At 43.4% G+C, this 20078-nt stretch overlaps 1 protein-coding gene, 1 long non-coding RNA gene and 1 pseudogene across 2 annotated transcripts in view, besides 3 other annotated features; all 3 read left to right on the top strand.

The window, feature by feature from the left end:
* The window catches only part of ASIC2 (acid sensing ion channel subunit 2), a 1143682-nt gene that overhangs the window by 115283 nt on the left and 1008321 nt on the right, over positions 1–20078 (top strand). The gene's annotated exons all lie outside the window — the stretch shown is intronic.
* LOC107987247 (uncharacterized) overlaps positions 1–20078 on the top strand; it is a 51173-nt gene that overhangs the window by 29412 nt on the left and 1683 nt on the right. The window lies entirely within an intron of this gene.
* On the top strand, positions 1436–4782 carry TLK2P1 (tousled like kinase 2 pseudogene 1; annotated as a pseudogene).
* Positions 2420–2620: a silencer, noted in NCBI's record as "peak2807 fragment used in MPRA reporter construct". NCBI's record gives its function as "represses an SCP1 promoter by STARR-seq MPRAs in K562 erythroleukemia cells {active_cell/tissue: K562}" and the evidence as "EXISTENCE:reporter gene assay evidence [ECO:0000049][PMID:32103011]".
* Positions 10074–10574: an enhancer, noted in NCBI's record as "NANOG-H3K4me1 hESC enhancer chr17:32357931-32358431 (GRCh37/hg19 assembly coordinates)". NCBI's record gives its function as "activates a minimal SCP1, AML or CMV promoter by ChIP-STARR-seq in primed H9 embryonic stem cells {active_cell/tissue: H9 hESC(primed)}" and the evidence as "EXISTENCE:reporter gene assay evidence [ECO:0000049][PMID:30033119]".
* Positions 10575–11075: an enhancer, noted in NCBI's record as "NANOG-H3K4me1 hESC enhancer chr17:32357430-32357930 (GRCh37/hg19 assembly coordinates)". NCBI's record gives its function as "activates a minimal SCP1, AML or CMV promoter by ChIP-STARR-seq in primed H9 embryonic stem cells {active_cell/tissue: H9 hESC(primed)}" and the evidence as "EXISTENCE:reporter gene assay evidence [ECO:0000049][PMID:30033119]".

The raw sequence follows: 20078 nt of genomic DNA, 5'->3' as shown, positions 1-20078 counted from the left end.
TTTGATGTCAAAGTTATCATTCTTTCTATTTCACGACCTTGTCTCCCTTTGATCATATTGCCTCTTAGATGCTCAAAGAAGAAAAATCTGAGTGATTGAATAGAAGTGCATTTGAGGACTCTGTGGAGAGGCTCTTGTCATGATTCAAGACTGTTGGCTTAATGTTCAGAGGCTCTCCTGGGCTCTCCAACCAGTCTCTTCTTCTGCCTCCGACCCAGGATAGTTGGGAAAGAATTTCCAGTAGTCACATCGGTAATGTGGAACCCTACTGTCTTTTGCCCAAGTTCAACTCTTGTGTTGTGAGAGCCTTCTCTTTCTCAGCAGAGAACCATATGCTCCTTTACTCATTTTTGCATCCCCCTCCAGAGCATAGCACTGTGCTTTGCATATGGTAGACCCATTTGGTATTTCTCCTTGTTGAGATATATGCTTTCCCACTTCCCCATTAAGCTGAGCTGCCTCTTGAAAAGAGCAACATTTGGATCTCCATCTTTTCTTGGAGTGGTTGTGTGTCCCTGTGCAAATTACTTAATCTCCCTGATACTCTGTTCCATCATTTGTAAAATGATCAAAACGGTAATAGCTTCCTCCTAGGATAGTTGTGGCAATTGCATGATGACTAGTTAATGATGTTAACTCTTATTATATTTTGTTACTGTAGTTATATTTGGTGTTTTTCCCTCAAACTTAACTATTGCTTCAGTAATAATAGGAACTGGCTAATTCTGGAAATGTGAGAGGTGAGGCTGGGGAAGGGGAGAGGTGAGGACACTGGAAACTACCCTTGAAGCAGTTCCAGGCCCATGGCTGTCACCTGCAGCACCATGCAATGAAGAGGACTCAGGCTGTGAAGCCCAACAATGATGACTCTCTCACCTGGCAGCACTGTTAGCTTGTGCAAGTCACCCTACCCTGTCTAACCCTTACTTTCTGCCTCTGTAATAGGTAGATGGTTCCCATATAAAATTGGCAGGATGATTAAGTGAATAAACAAATTCAGGGGGCAGCGGGGACCCCCCCCACCTTCCTCGTCCCCTCCCCCTCCTCCCCCACTGTCGGCGCTTCCCCCACCCCCCAGGACCCCCCCTGCCTCCCAGCCGTGCAAATCTCGCGAGGAAACACGCGGTTTCACTAGTGTGTTTACACCGATCACTACTAATCCGGACCGAACCGATCCGGATTAAGGGGCCGGAGGCAGGTCCTGGGCACCAGCGGTTCCGACACCCCCGCCCTCCGCGCCGCACCCGAGTGGCCCCCAGCCGAGCGGGCCCCCACCTCCTGACCTGGCCTGGGCCCTCCTGCGCCTCCCTTGGCCTTTGTCCGGCGCCAGGAGGCCGGTCCCGTGGCCGCCCGGGCCCGGGGCCGCGTCGGGCGCCTGGCTCTGTACGCGAGCCCGGGGATCTGCGGCCTTCGTGCCCCCCCTCCCCCGCCCGCCCTCTCGTGGAGCCCGGCGCCGGCGGTGGCTGCCCGGGCGGGGGGTTGCGGCGCTCAGGAGAGGCCCCGGCTCCGCCCCGGGCCTGCCCAGGGGGAGAGCGGAGCGGTCCGCAGCCGGGTCGGGTCGGGGTCCCTCCAGGGAGGAGCGTGGAGCGGCAGCGGCGGCGGCGGCAGTAGAAATGATGGAAGAATTGCATAGCCTGGACCCACGACGGCAGAAATTATTGGAGGCCAGGTTTACTGGAGTAGGTGTTAGTAAGGGACCACTTAATAGTGAGTCTTCCAACCAGAGCTTGTGCAGCGTCGGATCCTTGAGTGATAAAGAAGTAGAGACTCCCAAGAAAAAGCAGAATGACCAGCGAAATCGGAAAAGAAAAGCTGAACCATATGAAAGTAGCCAAGGGAAAGGCACTCCTAGGGGACATAAAATTAGTGATTACTTTGAGTTTGCTGGGGGAAGCGGGCCGGGAACCAGCCCTGGCAGAAGTGTTCCACCAGTTGCACGATCCTCACTGCAACATTCCTTATCCAATCCCTTACCGCGACGAGTAGAACAGCCCCTCTATGGTTTAGATGGCAGTGCTGCAAAGGAGGCAACGGAGGAGCAGTCTGCTCTGCCAACCCTCATGTCAGTGATGCTAGCAAAACCTCGGCTTGACACAGAGCAGCTGGCGCAAAGGGGAGCTGGCCTCTGCTTCACTTTTGTTTCAGCTCAGCAAAACAGTCCCTCATCTACGGGATCTGGCAACACAGAGCATTCCTGCAGCTCCCAAAAACAGATCTCCATCCAGCACAGACAGACCCAGTCCGACCTCACAATAGAAAAAATATCTGCACTAGAAAACAGTAAGAATTCTGACTTAGAGAAGAAGGAGGGAAGAATAGATGATTTATTAAGAGCCATCTGTGATTTGAGACGGCAGATTGATGAACAGCAAAAGATGCTAGAGAAATACAAGGAACGATTAAATAGATGTGTGACAATGAGCAAGAAACTCCTTATAGAAAAGTCAAAACAAGAGAAGATGGCGTGTAGAGATAAGAGCATGCAAGACCGCTTGAGACTGGGCTACTTTACTACGTCCGACACGGAGCCAAATTTACTGAGCAGTGGACAGATGGTTATGCTTTTCAGAATCTTATCAAGCAACAGGAAAGGATAAATTCACAGAGGGAAGAGATAGAAAGACAACGGAAAATGTTAGCAAAGCGGAAACCTCCTGCCATGGGTCAGGCCCCTCCTGCAACCAATGAGCAGAAACAGTGGAAAAGCAAGACCAATGGAGCTGAAAATGAAACGTTAACGTTAAAAGAATACCATGAACAAGAAGAAATCTTCAAACTCAGATTAGGTCATCTTAAAAAGGAGGAAGCAGAGATCCAGGCAGAGCTGGAGAGGCTAGAAAGGGTTAGAAAACTACATATCAGGGAAGTAAAAAGGATACATAATGAAGATAATTCACAATTTAAATATCATCCAACGCTAAATGACAGATATTTGTTGTTACATCTTTTGGGTAGAGGAGGTTTCAGTGAAGTTTACAAGGCATTTGATCTAACAGAGCAAAGATACGTAGCTGTGAAAATTCACCAGTTAAATAAAAACTGGAGAGATGAGAAAAAGGAGAATTACCACAAGCATGCATGTAGGGAATACCGGATTCATAAAGAGCTGGACCATCCCAGAATAGTTAAGCTGTATGATTACTTTTCACTGGATACTGACTCGTTTTGTACAGTATTAGAATACTGTGAGGGAAATGATCTGGACTTCTACCTGAAACAGCACAAATTAATGTCAGAGAAAGAGGCCCGGTCCATTATCATGCAGATTGTGAATGCTTTAAAGTACTTAAATGAAATAAAACCTCCCATCATACACTATGACCTCAAACCAGGTAATATTCTTTTAGAAAATGGTACAGGGTGTGGAGAGATAAAAATTACAGATTTTGGTCTTTCGAAGATCATGGATGATGATAGCTACAATTCAGTGGATGGCATGGAGCTAACATCACAAGGTGCTGGTACTTATTGGTATTTACCACCAGAGTGTTTTGTGGTTGGGAAAGAACCACCAAAGATCTCAAATAAAGTTGATGTGTGGTCGGTGGGTGTGATCTTCTATCAGTGTCTTTATGGAAGGAAGCCTTTTGGCCATAACCAGTCTCAGCAAGACATCCTACAAGAGAATACGATTCTTAAAGCTACTGAAGTGCAGTTCCCGCCAAAGCCGGTAGTAACACCTGAAGCAAAGGCGTTGATTCGACGATGCTTGGCCTACCGAAAGGAGGACCGCATTGATGTCCAGCAGCTGGCCTGTGATCCCTACTTGTTGCCTCACATCCAAAAGTCAGTCTCTACGAGTAGCCCTGCTGGAGCTGCTATTGCATCAACCTCTGGGGCGTCCAATAACAGTTCTTCTAATTGAGACTGACTCCAAGGCCACAAACTGTTCAACACACACAAAGTGGACAAATGGCGTTCAGCAGCGGGTTTGGAACATAGCGAATCCGAATGGATCTGATGAAACCTGTACCAGGTGCTTCTATTTTCTTGCTTTTTTCCCATCCATAGAGCATGACAGCATCGATTCTCATTGAGGAGAAACCTTGGGCAGCTCCGGCCAGGCCTTGTAGGAAAAGGCCCCGCCCGAGGTTCCAGCGTCAACGGCCACTGTGTGTGGCTGCTCTGAGTGAGGAAAAAATTAAAAGGAAAAACTGGTTCCATGTACTGTGAACTTGAAAACATGCAGACTCAGGGGGGTCCCTGATTCAGATGAAGAATGTGGACTTGAAAATACAGACTGGGCTAGTCCAGTGTCTGTATTTAAACTTGTTCTTTTCTTTTAATAAAGTTTAGGTAACATCTCCTGAAAAGCTTGTAGCACAAAGGCTCAGCTGGGGATGGTGTTTGACTTCGGAGGAAAAAAGTTGCTATTGCCCGTTAAAGGCACTAGAGTTAGTGTTTTTTCCCTAAATAATTTCAATTTTTAAAAACATGCAGCTTCCCTCTCCTCTTTTTTATTTTTGAAAGAATACATTTGGTCATAAAGTGAAACCCGTATTAGCAAGTACGTGGCAATGTTCATTCCAATCAGATGCAGCTTTCTCCTTCGTCTGGTCTCCTGTTTGCAATTGCTTCCCTCATCTCAGTAGGGAAAAAATTGAGTGGGAATACTGAGATGTGTGGGTTTTTGCCATTGGACAAAGAATGAGGTTAGAAGACTGCAGCTTGGAGTCCCTCTAGGTTTTCAACTATTTCTTCACAATTTGAACACTTGACGGTTGTCCCTTTTAATTTATTTGAAGTGCTATTTTTTTAAATAAAGGTTCATCTGTCCATGCAAAAAAAAAAAAAAAAAAAAAAAACAAATTCAAAGTATCAATATAGTATACAGTCCACAAGTAGCCCTTGATAAAATGCTAGTAGGACCATTTCTTTTCATTAATCTCTGTGATGGAATAAAATTTGCATGGATGGTGCTTTTTTTATATTTTTATTTTTTATTTTATTTTATTTTATTATTATTATACTTTAAGTTTTAGGGTACGTGTGCACAACGTGCAGGTTTGTTACATATGTATACATGTGCCATGTTGGTGTGCTGCACCCATTAACTCGTCATTTAACATTAGGTATATCTCCTAATGCTATCCCTCCCCCCTCCCCCCACCCCACAACAGTCCCCAGAGTGTGATGTTCTCCTTCCTGTGTCCATGTGTTCTCATTGTTCAATTCCCATCTATGAGTGAGAACATGCGATGTTTGGTTTTTTGTCCTTGCGATAGCTTGCTGAGAATGATGGTTTCCAGTTTCATTGATGTCCCTACAAAGGACATGAACTCATCATTTTTTATGGCTGCATAGTATTCCATGGTGTGTATGTTCCACATTTTCTTAATCCAGTCTATCGTTGTTGGACATTTAGGTTGGTTCCAAGTCTTTGCTATTGTGAATATTGACGATATAAACATATGTGTGCATGTGTCTTTATGGCAGCATGATTTATAATCCTTTGGATTATGGGATGGCTGGGTCAAATGGTATTTCTAGTTCAAGATCTCTGAGGAATCGTGACACTGACTTCCACAATGGTTGAACTAGTTTACAGTCCCACCAACAGTGTAAAAGTGTTCCTATTTCTCCACATCCTCTCCAGCACCTGTTGTTTCCTGACTTTTTAATGATTGCCATTCTAACTGGTGTGAGATGGTATCTCATTGTGGTTTTGATTTGCATTTCTCTGATGGCCAGTGATGGTGAGCATTTTTTCACGTGTGTTTTGGCTGCATAAATGTCTTCTTTTGAGAAGTGTCTGTTCATATCCTTTGCCCACTTTTTGATGGGGTTGTTTGTTTTTTTCTTGTAAATTTGTTTGAGTTCATTGTAGATTCTAGATATTAGCCCTTTGTCAGATGAGTAGGTTGCAAAAATTTTTTCCTGTTCTGTAGGTTGCCTGTTCACTCCGATGGTAGTTTCTTTTGATGTGCAGAAGCTCTTTAGTTTAATTAGATCCCATTTGTCAATTTTGGCTTTTGTTGCCATTGCTTTTGGTGTTTTAGACATGAAGTCCTTGCCCATGCCTATGTCCTGAATAGTAATGCTGAGGTTTTCTTCTAGGGTTTTTATGGTTTTAGGTCTAACGTTTAAGTCTTTAATCCATCTTGAATTGATTTTTGTATAAGGTGTAAGGAAGGAATCCAGTTTCAGCTTTCTACATGTGGCTAGCCAGTTTTCCACATATGGCTAGCCAGTTTTCCCAGCACCATTTATTAAATAGGGAATCCTTTCCCCATTGCTTGTTTCTGTCAGGTTTGTCAAAGATGAGATAGTTGTAGATATGCAGCATTATTTCTGAGGGCTCTGTTCTGTTCCATTGATCTATATCTCTGTTTTGGTACCAGTACCATGCTGTTTTGGTTACTGTAGACTTGTAGTATAGTTTGAAGTCAGGTAGCGTGATGCCTCCAGCTTTCTTTTGGCTTAGGATTGACTTGGCGATGCAGGCTCTTTTTTGGTTCCATATGAACTTTAAAGTAGTTTTTTCCAATTCTGTGAAGAAAGTCATTGGTAGCTTGATGGGGATGGCATTGAATCTATAAATTACCTTGGGCAGTATGGCCATTTTCATGATATTGATTCTTCCTATCCATAAGCATGGAATGTTCTTCCATTTGTTTGTGTCCTCTTTTATTTCATTGAGCAGTGGTTTGTAGTTCTCCTTGAAGAGGTCCTTCACATCCCTTATAAGTTGGATTCCTAGGTATTTTATTCTCTTTGAAGCAATTGTGAATGGGAGTTCACTCATGATTTGGCTCTCTGTTTGTCTGTTATTGGTGTATAAGAATGCTTGTGACTTTTGTACATTGATTTTGTATCCTGAGACTTTGCTGAAGTTGCTTATCAGCCTGAGGAGATTTTGGGCTGAGACGATGGGGTTTTCTAGATATACAATCATGTCATCTGCAAACAGGGACAATTTGACTTCCTCTTTTCCTAATTGAATACCCTTTATTTCCTTCTCCTGCCTGATTGCCCTGGCCAGAATTTCCAAGACTATGTTGAATAGGAATGGTGAGAGAGGGCATCCCTGTCTTGTGCCTGTTTTCAAAGGGAATGCTTCGAGTTTTTGCCCATTCAGTATGATATTGGTTGTGGGTTTGTCATAGATAGCTCTTATTATTTTGAGATACGTCCTATCAATACCTAATTTATTGAGAGTTTTTAGCATGAAGGGTTGTTGAATTTTGTCAAAGGCTTTTTCTGCATCTATTGAGATAATCATGTGGTTTTTGTCTTTGGTTCTGTTTATATGCTGGATTACATTTATTGATTTGCATATGTTGAACCAGCCTTGCATTCCAGGGATGAAGCCCACTTGATCATGGTGGATAAGCTTTTTGATGTGCTGCTGGATTCGGTTTGCCAGTATTTTATTGAGAATTTTTGTATTGATGTTTATCAAGGATATTGGTCTAAAATTCTCTTTTTTGGTTGTGTCTCTGCCAGGCTTTGGTATCAGGATGATGCTGGCCTCATAAAATGAGTTAGGGAGGATTCCCTCTTTTACTATTGATTGGAATAATTTCAGAAGGAGTGATATCAGCTCCTCTTTGTACCTCTGGTAGAATTCGGCTGTGAATCCATCTGGTCCTGGACTTTTTTTGGTTGGTAAGCTATTGATTATTGCCTCAATTTGAGAGCCTGTGATTGGTCTATTCAGAGATTCAACTTCCTGGTTTAGTCTTGGGAGGATGTATGTGTCAAGAAATTTATCCATTTCTTCTAGATTTTCTAGTTTATTTGTGTAGAGGTGTTTGTAGTATTCTCTGATGGTAGTTTGTATTTCTGTGGGATCGGTGATGATAGCCCCTTCATCATTTTTTATTGCGTCTATTTGATTCTTCTCTCTTTTCTTCTTTATTAGTCTTGCTAACGGTCTATCAATTTCGTTGATCTTTTCAAAAAGCAACTCCCGGATTCATTAATTTTTTGAAGGGTTTTTTGTGTCTCTATTTCCTTCAGTTCTGCTCTGATCTTAGTTATTTTTTGCCTTCTGCTAGCTTTTGAATGTGTTTGCTCTTGCTTTTCTAATTCTTTTAATTGTGGTGTTAGGATGTCAATTTTATATCTTTCCTGCTTTCTCTTGTGGGCATTTAGTGCTATAAATTTCCCTCTACACACTGCTTTGAATGTGTCCCAGAGATTCTGGTATGTTGTGTTTTTGTTCTCGTTGGTTTCAAAGAACATCTTTATTTCTGCCTTCATTTTGATGTGCACCAAGTAGTCATTCAGGAGAAGGTTGTTCAGTTTCCATGTAGTTGAGTGGTTTTGAGTGAGTTTCTTAATCCTGAGTTCTAGTTTGCTTGCACTGTGGTCTGAGAGACAGTTTGTTATAATTTCTGTTCTTTTACATTTGCTGAGGAGTGCTTTACTTCCATCTATGTGGTCAATTTTGGAATAGGTGTGGTGTGGTACTGAAAAGAATGTATATTCTGTTGATTTGGGGTGGAGAGTTCTGTAGATGTCTACAAGGTCCGCTTGGTGCAGAGCTGAGTTCAATTCCTGGATATCCTTGTTAACTTTCTGTCTTGTTTATCTGTCTAATGTTGACAGTGGGGTGTTAAAGTCTCCCATTATTATTGTGTGGGAGTCTTAAGTCTTTTTGTAGGTCATTAAGGACTTACTTTATGAATCTGGGTACTCCTGTACTGGGCGCATATATATTTAGGATAGTTAGCTCTTCTTGTTGCATTGATCCCTTTCCCTTTATGTAATGGCCTTCTTTGTCTCTTTTGATCTTTGTTGGTTTAAAGTCTGTTTTATCAGTGACTAGGATTGCAATCCCTGCCTTTTTTTGTTTTCCATTTGCTTGGTAGATCTTCCTCCATCCCTTTATTTTGAGCCTATGTGTGTCTCTGCATGTGAGATGGGTTTCCTGAATACAGCACACTGATGGGTCTTGACTCTTTATCCAATTTGCCAGTCTGTGTCTTTTAATTGGAGAATTTAGCCCATTTACATTTAAAGTTAATATTGTTATGTGTGAATTTGATCTTGTCATAATGATGTTAGCTGGTTATTTTGCTCATTAGTTGATGCAGTTTCTTCCTAGCCTTGATGGTTTTTACAATTTGGCATGTTTTTGCAGCAGCTGGTACTGGTTGTTCCTTTCCATGTTTAGTGCTTCCTTCAGGAGCTCTTGTAGGGCAGGCCTGGTGGTGACAAAATCTCTCAGCATTTGCTTGTCTGTAAAGTATTTTATTTCTCCTTCACTTATGAAGCTTAGTTTGGCTGGATATGAAATTCTGGGTTGAAAATTCTTTTCTTTAAGAATGTTGAATATTGGCCCCCACTCTCTTCTGGCTTGTAGAGTTTCTGCCAAGAGATCAGCTGTTAGTCTGATGGGTTTCCCTTTGTGGGTAACCTGACCTTTCTCTCTGGCTACCCTGATCATTTTTTCCTTCATTCCAACTTTGGTTCATCTGACAATTATGTGTCTTGGAGTTGCTCTTCTCGAGGAGTATCTTTGTGGCATTCTCTGTATTTCCTGAATTTGAATGTTGGTCTGCCTTGCTAGATTGGGGAAGTTCTCCTGGATAATATCCTGCAGAGTGTTTTCCAACTTGGTTCCATTCTCCCCGTCACTTTCAGGTAAATCAATCAGACGTAGATTTGGTCTTTCCACATACTGCCATAAGTCTTGGAGGCTTTGTTTGTTTCTTTTTATTCTTTTTTCTCTAAACTTCTCTTCTCGCTTCATTTCATTCATTTCATCTTCCATCACTGATACCCTTTCTTCCAGTTGATCGCATTGGCTACTGAGGCTTCTGCATTCGTCACGTAGCTCTCGTGCCTTGGTTTTCAGCTCCATTAGGTCCCTTAAGGACTTTTCTCCATTGGTTATTCTAGTTATCCATTTGTCTAATTTTTTTTCAAAGCTTTTAACTTCTTTGCCATTGGTTCGAATTTCCTCCTGTAGCTTGGAGTAGTTTGATCATCTGAAGCCTTCTTCTCTCAACTCGTCAAAGTCATTGTCCATGCAGCTTTGTTCCATTGCTGGTGAGGAGCTGCATTCCTTTGGAGGAGGAGAGGCGCTCTGATTTTTACAGTTTCCAGTTTTTCTCCTCCGTTTTTTTCCCATCTTTGTGGTTTTATCTACCTTTGGTCTTTGATGATGGTGAGGTACAGATGGGTTTTTGGTGTGGATGTCCTTCCTGTTTGTTAGTTTTCCTTCTAACAGATAGGACCCTCAGCTGCAGGTCTGTTGGAGTTTGCTAGAGGTCCACTCCAGACCCTGTTTGCCTGGGTATCCACAGCGGTGGCTGAAGAACAGCAGATATTGGTGAACCGCAAATGCTGCTGCCTGATCGTTCCTCTGGAAGTTTTGTCTCAGAGGAGTACCCGGCCATGTGAATTGTCAGTCTGCCCCTACTGGGGGGTGCCTCCCAGTTAGGCTGCTCAGGGGTCAGGGACCCACTTGAGGAGGCAGTCTGCCCGATCTCAGATCTCCAGCTGTGTGCTGGGAGAACCACTACTCTCTTCAAAGCTGTCAGAGAGGGACATTTAATTCTGCAGAGGTTATTGCTGTCTTTTTGTTTGTCTGTGCCCTGCACCCAGAGGTGGAGCCTACAGAGGCAGGCAGGCCTCCTTGAGCTGTGGTGGGCTCCACCCAGTTCGAGCTTCCTGGCCTCTTTGTTTACCTAATCAAACAACTAACTGGGCAATTGCGGGTGCCCCTCCCCCAGCCTCTCTGCTGCCTTGCAGTTTGATCTCGGACTGCTGTGCTAGCAATGAGCAAGACTCCGTGGGCATAGGACCCTCCAAGCCAGGTGCTTGATATAATCTCCTGGTGTGCCGTTGTTTAAGCCCATTGGAAAAGCGCAGTATTAGGGTGGGAGTGACCCGATTTTCCAGGTGCTGTCTATCACCCCTTTCTTTGAGTAGGAAAGGAAATTCCCTGACCCCTTGAGCTTCCCAGGTGAGGCGATGCCTCGCCCTACTTCAGCTCGCGCACGGTGCACTGCACCTACTGTCCTGCACCTACTCTCTGGCACTCCCCAGTGAGATGAACCTGGTACCTCAGTTGGAAATGCAGAAATCACCCATCTTCTGCGTTGCTCAAGCTGGGAGCTGTAGACCGGAGCTGTTCCTATTCAGCCATCTTGGCTTCTCCTCAAACATTCGGATGGTGTTAATTCAGATAGTAGGCCCTCAAAAATTTCGAATGGATGGATTATGGATCAATGAAAGTATGGGTGGATTTCTAGAAAACTGAAAGTGGTGCTGGAAGGGTATAGACTGTGAGGAGCAGGGCAGAAGTGCATGAAATCTTTGCTCTTCAATTAAAGTGTGCACTCTTTCTTGGGCTTATATGCAACACATTCACTAGAAACCCTCATAACTTTCACTCCTTGAAGGATGTGTTTGAAAAATGCTGTATTTTCTTGTAGGCCCTTTGCAAATGGACACTAGTAGTAGGGGGTAGTTGTGAAGGGAAGAGCCAATTGTGTGGGATTCAGGCTTTGGAGGTTGACCATGCTCTGTGTTAGCCTGGTTCAGTGGAATCAGGGCAGACTTATTACTACTTATGTGAATTCAATTCCTCTGGGCCTTTGCTGTTGTGTCTTGAAAATGGGGTGATCAAATCTGCCAGGCAGGGTCTATTTTGTGGGGTGTCTCAGTCTGCTCAGGCTGCCATCACAAAATACCATAGACAGGTGGCTTAAACAACAAAAACTTATTTCTCACAGTTCTAGAGGCTGTAAGTCCAAAATCAAGGTGCCAGCAGATTCAATTTTCTGGTGAAGGCTCTCTTCCTGACTTGCAGATAGCTGCTTTCTCACTGTGTCCTCACAGTGCAGACAGAGAGAAAAATACATCTTTCTTTTTCTCTTCTTAAAAGGCTACAGTCTTATCAGATTGGAGCCTTACTGGTATGACCTCATTTAACCTCAATTGTCTTCCAAAGATCCTATCTCCAAATACTACAGTCATATTGGGGGTTAGGGCTTCAACATATGAATTTTGGGAGAGTAGAATTCAGTCCAATACAAGGAGATTAAGTGAGATTATTCATGCAAATATGTTTCAGAAACTATGAAGGGCTGTACCCACTTAGAAGGTAGTGAGAGTCTTTTTTTAAATTTTACTATTTTTTTTTTTTTTTTTTTGGTTTTAGCACTGTGAGACATTCCTCAGGGCATTCATTCATTCATTTATTGAATGTCTACTTTGTGCCAGGCACATTTCTTGACACTGGATGACAGTAATAGAGAAAACAGACAAAAATCCTTATCTTCACAGAGCCTATCTACTTCCTAGAATGTAGACAAGAAAGATAGACAAGTAGAATATATAATTTATAAGATGGGGAAGAGTTGTATGAAAACAAATAAAGTAAAGGAATGGATTGAGAATGCCACATAGCGAGGAATAGTTTAAATTGTAACTAATTGGTGTTGTGGGGGAGGTAGGAGGGGGATGATCAAGGAAGACTTCGTTTGAACGAAGTCAAAGACTTCAAGTCTTTGAGAAGTTGATGGAGCTACAAGGCTATCTAAAGAAGAGTATTCCAGGCAATGAGAAAAGCCTATGCAAAGTCCCTGGGGTAAGAGAGACCCAGATATGTTCAAGGAACAGCCATGAGAGCTGGGCAGCCAGAGCTGAATGAGAGATGGGGGGACTGGTAGGAGATGGAACCAGAAAGATTCAATCCAAGAAGAGGACTTGCTGTCTGCATTTGATGAGGCCAGGGCAGCAACAGTGAGAGGAGCAGGAAATCGCTTCTCTGTGAGGAGAGGATTTCATGTATTCTCTGAGGATCTGTGCTCATCTCCAGGAACACCTGTGGGAGTCAGTTCTTATCTGCTCCGAAATTTCTTCCAATATTTTATGACTCCAGATATGTCCTCTTGTGAAACTGTGGTGAATGGCTGCTGGTGAAATAATGATCCTAGCGGAGTATGTAAATGAGATAGCATCCATGCATTATTAAAAGAGTAAATTCATAGCTGGAAGTGAATGTGTATGAAGCAAGGTTGACTCGAGCATAATGCCTTCCTACACCAACCAGACTACACACTCATTTGAGTGTGGAGCTCAGGTTTGTGTCAACCATAGCAACTAATATAGTTCCTAGGACAATATAGGTTCTCAAAGTGTTTGTCTAAAAGCACAGCCTCTCCAAGAAGCACATGTTAGGAATTGCAAAGAAAGGAGATTCTCTTTAATTTGCAGCAAGAACTCTTTGTTCCTCCTAATGAGCAGGACTGGGGTCCAGCACCGACCTCCATGGAGGTGAAGTGGGTTATGCATTTCCATACCTAATGGAGCTCTCACAAACTAAAATATCTCTGCTTCTAAGGCTGGGGGGCAATGGATTGTATCATGGGGGCTTTCTTCCATTTTGAAAGATAACATCTACAGGTACACCAAATTTGGTATTGATTACCTACGTACTATATTCTGCTCCATTCTTTTCAAGCTGTGAAAACTCACCTCTGAACCTCATTTTCCTCATATATGTGGAATATGATAACAATACCTGCTGCCCTGGGCTGTCTGTAAGATTGAATGGTCTTGTGGATATAAAATAATGCATATCGTTATTCCCACTTCATAGGTAAAGATCTGACACAATGTCATGGCCCAAATCTGTACCTCCTTTCAAAAATCCAATCAATAAAAACCTACTGTGAGCCTGCTAGGAATAAAGCACCGTTCTAGGTCCTAGAGATATAGCAGTGAGTGAGAGGAAGATGATTCTTGCCTTGCAGTGTAGGAGAGGGATGATAAAGACACAGACACATCAGTGACAATGGAGGGTGTGCTAACGACAGAGCTAGGGCTCAAACTCATGACTTCTATCTCTAGATCCTACACTTTTTCTGTCATCCCCTTTAAGCAGAAATCAGGCTCGGCCTCAGTCCTAAGGGAACTAGCAGTGTACAAAAGAAGTTGTATCTGAACTGAAATAGTATGCAACTACTTCTTAGGGCCTCTAGAGAGTTTTGAATAAAGTGCTCAGGTTGGTTTGGGGAGCAAAAGATAACTTGTGACTCTAGAAATCAGGATTTTTTTTTCAAAGAGGTGGCAACTAAATGGTTATAGGGGGGCAGCATCCCTCCTTAACACAAGTCTGACCCGTGATGACATAAAAGCCCATGGCCGTGTAACCAGGAAGGATATTTAGAAAGATGTCAGCGAACTTAAATGATTGCAAAAGTAGAGAATGCTTCAAATAACTCTTTCAGGTGGAAACTTGGAGGTACTGAGATATTTTCAGGTGGGGGTAAACTCTGCTGATTCCTAGTTCTCCAAGGAATACATCTTTGCCAGTGGAAGGAACTTGGGAAACCCAGTGAGCAGATTATTAAATTGCCACTTTTTTGGGGTATTGAACTACATTTATCACCTTTCTTATTTTTACTTTATCATTGTTAGCATCAGGCATTGTTAATATTTTCAGAATTCTTACTAATATTTCATTGGAGTGTTTTTGTTTTCTCTTTAAACAGGTATTTGGTGTGGATTGCCACATTCCTGGGTAATTTTGTTAAATCTGGAGGCCAATTTTCTTTTTACAACTATCTACTGCTTTGATTTTATGAGAAAAAATCAATAGAAAGAAAGGAGTTGCTGAAAGGTTCTAACGCAGTCTGTGCAAAAACTGTCAGATGTTAGCTGCATGGCCGAGCCTTTCCCAAGTGGGTTTGAATCCCAACTTGGCCACTAATTCAGTGTATGCCTTGAATAGGTCACTATCCCTCTCTGGGCCTCAGTTTTCTCATCTGCAAAATGAGGTGAATTGGCTTAAATGGTCTGACATCCCATCCACCTTTGGCATTTGGGGAGTTGATGAATGCTGGGAAATGGCTGGAGGCTGCAAGAGCCATGGAGAGAGCAGAAAGAACGTTTTTATTAGTTCAAAAACAGCACAATGAGGAACAATGAAATTAATTAAAAGAACCACTTTTATTGAGTTAGCAGTGAGTAGAAAAACAATGAAATGATTGTTTTTGGAAACCTTTTCAGCTTAAGATGAAAACAAGCCCAGTCTCCCCAGGTTATGGTGCAGTCACTTTAGGAATGAAACTCATCGGTTTGGGAGAGCTGTTTCTCCTCCATCATTTCCAAGGCAGAGCACGGATCATCTATGCAGGCCAGGCCTGTCTCTTGCTACCTAAGCCGCCAGACATTTACAGAAGCTAAATTAACTTCATGCATGGCTAGCGGCTGCACCTTCTAGCTGCTGCAGGGCTCCTCATTCTCATTAAGACTTCAGGGCAGGCATACTGCTGTTGGGAATACACACCTTGACATAGATTCCAGGGGTGAAGGTGGCTGAGAAAGAAGGACTGCTTTCCACAGTCTCTGCAAAAAATACCAGCAAACTTATTGCAAGACTCCAAATCCAATAATTGCACAACCGTAGCATCAAGCAGTTGCAGGTTCTGTAAGTCCTTTCAGTGCACTGAGCCCTTAAAAGTTAACCTTTGCGTAGGCTATCTCCAGCCCTCTGAATTCTGTGAGATTAAACCCACCATACCCATTTCACAGATGAGAAAAAGGAGCCTGAGATGTGAAGCTTCTTAGACAAAGTTGCACAGCTGCTATGATAAAGACACAATCCTGGTAAGGACAGCATCAGCATTTTATAATCATTCTTGATTTTTATACTCTCAGAAGCCCTTTTGAATATGTAGTCTCACTAGATTCTCATGACCTTTTATTGACATGCATGATGCATGAGGGCAGTATTTTATCCCTCTTTTGTTGATAAGGAAACTGAGGCTTAGAGAGTTTAAGTGGTTGGCTCAAGGCCCCATGGCTAAAGGATTAGTAAGTCAGACCTAAAACTAAAATCCGATCCTAACCTGCTATTACATTGGCTTTGTGCTGTCTTATTTACAATTAACAGTGGGAAATAAGGAAAATTTAATGCAAAAAAACCACATTTTTCTGAAATATAAGTCATTATAACCTTTGAGAAAACCTTTGAGGTAATCTAAACCAGGAATTGGTCATCTGAGGTGCTAGGTGGGACTTAGTGGGTCCAGGATCTTCCTGAATGTTTATGCAAGGTCGGGTGCTTTTGTGTGTAAGTGCTTCACTCAGGGTAACAAGTGTGTACACTGAGCAGTCCACTCCACGAGGGGGTGCAACTTTCTAAGGTATAGGGGTATCTCTGACACCCAGCACCATTTTGGCACACAGCAAGTGCTCAGTAAATGTTGATGGAACTAATCTGATTCTTTAAAGGTTCTATGATGCCACAAAAACTGAATGTTAGCAAGGGCAGCAGTGAATCTCAGAAATCTCTCTAGCTTTCATACCTTCCAGACAAAGACTCAGGGGCTCAGAAGGAACAAGGCAATAGCCTCAGATCTGCTTGAGGCAGAGCAGGGTCTAGGAGCTGGTCTCTCAGCCTCTGCCAAGGTGATCAGGAGATTTCCCCTGAGCAGTGTTGCTTCCTTTATGTGATCACAGGGACTTCTGTAGTGACAACAAAGTGCTGTCCACTGGGGGCCTCCAAGAGGCCCCATGTTGGCCAGCTCTGCATTCAGTGAGTCATTCTCCACAGTGCAAAGGGAAAGTGCTAAAGTGCTTGAGAAAAGAGTTTCTCTTAATTAGGTTAAACACTCCCCCACTCCCCAGCCTCATTTACACCATTCATTTGCTCAGCAGACTATGGCTTCCAAGAGAGGATTCAAGTAAACCCTGTCCTATCCAGGTGTACATGATCCTAAACCACAAAAAAATGGACTCTGAAATCCAGTTCCTGCAGGATGGAGAGGGACTAAATGGGTCTGGTTGGGCCTCAGGCCTGCCCTGCACCCCTCCCCACGCTGGCCAGGTTTTGAGCATGTCTCTTGGGGTCACTGCCGGTCCAGCCTGCTAGGAAACAGGCAATGGAAACCCAGAGCAGAATTTCTGGGAAATGCAAGAGTTTCTTTCTCCACTCCAGCCATTTCTCTTCTGTCAGAGCTCTAATGAGGTTTTAGTGCCAGGAGGGAAAGTAAATGGAAAGAAAACAGCCCAAAGTTGCTAATGCTATCGACAGTGACCATGCTTCAGGAAACCCTTCCTTCCCCTGGGGCCACCGCCCAGTGCATGGTTTGCCTAAAAGGAAGAAAGAGAAGGGAAAAACAGGTTCCTTGTAACTACAGAGAGAGGGATTCTCCAAGATCCACTTGTGCATGTGTTGGGGGATCTGAAATTAACCCTTTCTGCCTCATTAGTTTCTAAGTAGTGCTGAGATTAAGAGCCATTGTTGGGAACATGAAGAGGCTGTTTCTGTAAGGGGAGTCTTGATAGCTCTTCCAGGAAGTCAGAGAGACAGCCAGTGGGTGCTGAGCAGCCCAATCTGGCTGGATGTCTATACTTGTGGCTTCCAGCTCTTCATACACTGAGTCCAGGTTCTCAAGAGCCCCTCTATAAAGCCCTTTCAGGAGCTGGCTGATTTATAGGTTAAGAGTAAGACAGGCCTGGGTTCAAATCCTGCCTCCATGACTTGATTAGTTTCCCTCTGTCAAAGTTTCTTTATCTGTGGAATGAGAGTAGTAACACCTGCCTCATAGGGTTGAATGAGATTAGATCTGTATGTTATAGGGATACAGTAAGTTATAACAAACATTGTATTTGCAGTCTTCCATCCACTGTGACCCCATCTGCCCACATTTACCCAGTAAAGAACTTGTCTTTGGAGTCTGTCTTAGACCCTTTGTGCAGCTAAAACAAAATATCTGAGACTGGGTAATTTATAAAGAACCGAAATTTATTTCTCACAGTTCTGGAGGCTGGGAGGTCCAAAGTCAAGGCTCTGGCAGACTCAGTTGCCTGGGGAGGGCTACTCTCTGCTTCCAAGATGGCACCTTGATGCTGCACCTCCGGAGGTCCTCACATGGTGAGGAAGGTGGAAGGGCAAGTGAGGCAAATGCTGTGTGAAGCCTCTTTTACGAGGGCCTTAGTTCCATCATGAGGGAGGGGCTCTCATGGACAAAGCAACTCTGAAAGGCCCCACTTCTTAATACTGTCACATTGGCAATGCCTGAATTTTGGAGGGGACACATTCAAATGATAGCAAAGTCTGCCAGATCAGTGTGTGAGCCTCTGCAGCAGTTCAGAATCAAAATCTGAAGTGTGTGTGTGTGTGTGTGTGTGTGTGTTTGTGACAGAGAGAGAGAGAGAGAAAGAGAAACAGAGAACTGCAGAAAGTATCATGGGGATTTGTATCCTAAAGAGCCAAGAATTACTTAGGAAAGAGACAAATAGAAGCAGAAGGAAAGGAAGAGGAGAAGAAAGAGAAAGGTCAGTGAGTTAGGAGATAAACTTTGGGATGAGGAGTTGATTTGGGGCATGAATAGAGGGTGTATTAGTTCATTCTCACATTGTGTAAAGAACTACATGAGACTGGGTAATTTATAAAGAAAAGAGGTTTAATTGACTCTCAGTTCCACAGGCTGTACAGGAAGCATGGTGGATGAGTCCTCAGGGAACTTACAAGCATGGCAGAAGGCAAAGGGGGAGCAGACATGTCTTACGTGGCCAGAGAAGGAATAAGAGAGAGAAAGGGGAGGTGCCACACACTTTTAAACAACCAGATATCATGAGAACTCACTCACTATCATAAGAAGAGCCCCCATGATCCAGTCACCTCCCACCAGGACCCTCCTCCAACACTGGGGATTACAATTTGACATGAGATTTGGACCTGGACGCAAATTCAAATCATATCAGAGGAGCTGCAGGAAAGCTATGAGGGCAAGAGGAATGTAAAAAGAAGAGTTAACAAGGGTTGCTATGGCTTATTAATGAACCACTTCTTCATGCCAAAAGATCAGTAAAAATCACAATTGCTTTTATATTCTATTGGCTACTGGGCTGTTTTTTTGTTTTTTTTTTTGTTTTTTTTTTTCATGGGAAATTGCATGAAGACCAGACTGTGGGAGCTCTAGATTATATTTGGGTTACACAGTTGAAGTGTCTAGCATAGTTCTTGGCACATAGCAGATACTAATTAAGTGGTAGCTATTAAGAGATATAGAGAATTTCAAGGGTGGATACTCAGTGATTGCCCATCTTACTTCCTAGTAATATTTTATGTAGGATAAGTAAAGGTTAACTCTGAGCAGGTTGTATAGGTGGGATGGGAGGAGATACCTAAGTGCAGGAAATTTGTGTCCAAAACCGTACCCTGGGAACAGCCAGAGATAGAGGGGAATTAGGAAGCAAGTCTGGTGTCATTAATGTTTTGGGTGAACTTGGACAGAATGCTGGGAACTGCAAGTGCAGACAAAGCAATCAAAATCAGTTTAGGGTTAGGCACAGCAGAAACTGACCAGAGGTAGAGAGGAGTCTTAGTAATAAAGCCCCAGGGAAGTGGTGCTTAATCCTGGCTGCACATAAAAATCACCTGGAGTACTTTTAAAAATACCAACCCCCCACTTTGGAAGGCCGAGGTGGGCGGATCACAAGGTCAGGAGATCGAGACCATCCTGGCTAACATGGTGAAACCCCGTCTCTACTAAAAATACAAAAAATTAGCCAGGCGTGGTGGCGGGCACCTATAGTCCCAGCTACTCGGGAGGCTGAGACAAGAGAATGGCGTGAGCCCAGGAGGTGGAGTTTGCAGTGAGCCGAGATTGCACCACTGCACTCCAGCCCGGGTGACAGAGCTAGACTCTGTCTCAAAAAAAAAAAAAAAAAACAAAACAAAACACAAAACCAACAACAAAAAAAAGCCCCTGGCTCCATCCCCGGTCAGTTGAGTTATAATTTCTGAGACTGGGTCTGGGCATCAGTATTTTTAAGATGTCCCTATGTGACCTAACACTGTGAATCTCTGCTCTAAGGTGTGGCAAACTCAACGCTGATCTCATCTGCTAACTCTGTAGGGATCTGATCCATGTTTAGAGGAAGGGGGAGAGAGATGACAGAAATAGCAGGAACTTCAAGGGAACAAGAGTTTCCTCCCTCAGGTGGACACTGGGTCTGTAGATTCCAAAAGACCTGACCAGTCACTGGCAAGACTAAACTCAGGCCTGGGGGCTGAGATTCCAGAGCCCTGCCCTAGGGAAAAGGAACTGATGAGAATTAGGTTGAGGGGCCAGACCTGATAACTGGTGGGCAAGAGTCCA

Source organism: Homo sapiens, chromosome 17 (assembly GCF_000001405.40).
Source record: "Homo sapiens chromosome 17, GRCh38.p14 Primary Assembly".
NCBI classification, from domain to species: domain Eukaryota; kingdom Metazoa; phylum Chordata; class Mammalia; order Primates; family Hominidae; genus Homo; species Homo sapiens.
Note: the sequence above shows the minus strand (reverse complement) of the source record. Positions and strands in the feature narration are given on the sequence as shown.